General features: G+C 44.7%; 1 long non-coding RNA gene across 1 annotated transcript; it reads right to left on the reverse strand.

Annotated features, from left to right (window-relative positions):
• Positions 1-500: 500 nt before the first annotated feature.
• LOC124901252 (uncharacterized) lies at positions 501-2,085 on the reverse strand. The gene is made up of 2 exons (XR_007059426.1): positions 1,361-2,085; positions 501-781 (listed from the first exon to the last, which is right to left on the reverse strand). It is a non-coding gene; the product is annotated as an uncharacterized LOC124901252 (long non-coding RNA).

Raw genomic sequence — 2,085 nt, forward strand, 5'->3', positions numbered from 1 at the left:
AAGGTTCAGGTGATTCTCCTGCCTCAGCCTCCCAAGTAGCTGGGATTACAGATGCCTGCCACCGTGCCTAACTAATTTTGTTTTTTGTATTTTTAGTAGAGACTGGGTTTCACCATCTTGGCCAGGCTGGTCTCAAACTCCTGACCTTGTGATTTACCCGCCTCAGCCTCCCAAATTGTTGGGATTACAGCCATGAGCCACCGTGCCCGGCCCGTGGCTGTCTTTCTGTAAGGACATCAGTCATGTTAGACCAGGGCCCACCCTACGCCAGTATGGCCTCATCTTAAGTATACATTTGCAACAATCCTGTTTCCTAATGAAGTCAGTTCTGAGGTACCAAGAGTTAAGATTTCAACATCTCTTTCTTGCAGGGGGAGGGGAGTCTGATTCAGCCCCTACCAATAAGAGAAAAAAATATTGTAGCACAGTTTGTAAATCTATTTGATATACACAGTCTGTATATCAAATGGAGTGAAAAACTGCAAATAAGAAATGCTTTATATATTCTCAGCTTCCTTTAATTCTCATTAATCAGTAATAACCTTAAAGTATGTAAAAGTATAACATAAAATGATGGCAGCTTCTTACTGTTCCCAGTGAGATTAGAACAAGAGGAATGAGAATGGAGCTGCAATGAGAAAGCATTAAGGCAATATTCGTCTGTGTCAAAGTGGTGCAGCATTTGCAATATCTTCACAGGGAATTCTGCTCTGGTCTCCTCTGGGATATCCTAGCAAAGTGGCGGGGTCCGGTCTGTTAGAGATGACCAAGTGGAGACGCTCTAGAAGAAAGGTGAGAGGTTAGCTCAGGTTTTCAAACTGTGTTTCATGGAACATTGATGTTTCATAAGGCATATAAGTGGTTCCTGAAAGTGGGGGCAAGAGCAGACATGATTAATATATGCAACTTCTCTCCCTCTATAAATGAAAAAGGACTTATTTCTGCAGTTACCACATATGTCTAGGTTTATCAGACTATTTATTCACTCCAGGGGCTTTTTCCTCTTGAGTCTTTGGCTTGTAACTGAACTATCTTTCCCTAGTGAGGCCTTGAGAAAGTTTCTGGGATTCAAATACCCAGGTTCCTCCGTATGGATGTCGTGATTTCTTTTTATAGTCTAGTGTATGTGTGTGTATACACACACACACACACACACACACACACACAGAGCTGATGCAAGCACATGCCCTCAAAGCAAAGGAAAAAGATAGATGTCTCCCTATGCCTTTCTAAGCTTTTGTATATTATACCTCACATTGTCAGCTCTAAAACCCTATATTACTGGCTTACTGAATGAACTGCACTTGGTAGGTTGAAGTTATCAAATGCCCCCTCATACGTATCATATGCCCACACCCACCTTACTCTTCTGAATTCTTCTCTTCTGACTTTGGGTGGACTCTTGCTTTTCTGGATTATATCACATATTAACAAGTAGTCGCTTTCTTTGCAGGTGCAGCTATTGCCTTAGTTTGGGAACTCCTGAAAGTAGAACATGGGGCAGGACTTGGGAGCAGTTACTTTAAGTGGGAGGAAAATCCTGGAGGCAGGAGTGAGAGAGCAGGGAGGGTGAGACAGGGAAGGAGAGACACTAATAGAATGGTGCATTATTGAGATGGCTGCTGTGTGCAATGGGGGATTGATCCTGCTGTGGCCTCTGAGAAAGGTACAAGAAGCCTCTTGGTGTTTCTCATCTGAGTGATGGGAGGTGGGAACCTTCATCCATAGGCTTGTATCTCCCACTGCTGGAGGATTGCCCCTGGCGTGGTAATGCCCCTGCACTTCTGGGCTGTGTTGATCCTGGGCCAAATGGGCTGAGAAGTCTTCTGAGAAGGCCCTGCAGCAAAACTGGCTCGAGCGTGAGTTTGCATGGAACTACCCACTGCAGCTATGGCTGAAATCAACAGTGGCAAAGGGCATGACATGGTGTGGGGCATCCCGAACATCTCCTGCAGTCTACTTTGCCCTGCTCAGATCTACCCATGCCCTACATGAAGTCAACCCAGTTAGTACATCCTCAAGGTGACAGCAGATCCCACACTTTTAAAAGTATATGTCCTGCTGAATATGGTGGCATGTGCCTAT

The sequence above is a fragment of the Homo sapiens genome, chromosome 6 (genome assembly GCF_000001405.40).
Source record: "Homo sapiens chromosome 6, GRCh38.p14 Primary Assembly".
Lineage (NCBI taxonomy): Eukaryota > Metazoa > Chordata > Mammalia > Primates > Hominidae > Homo > Homo sapiens.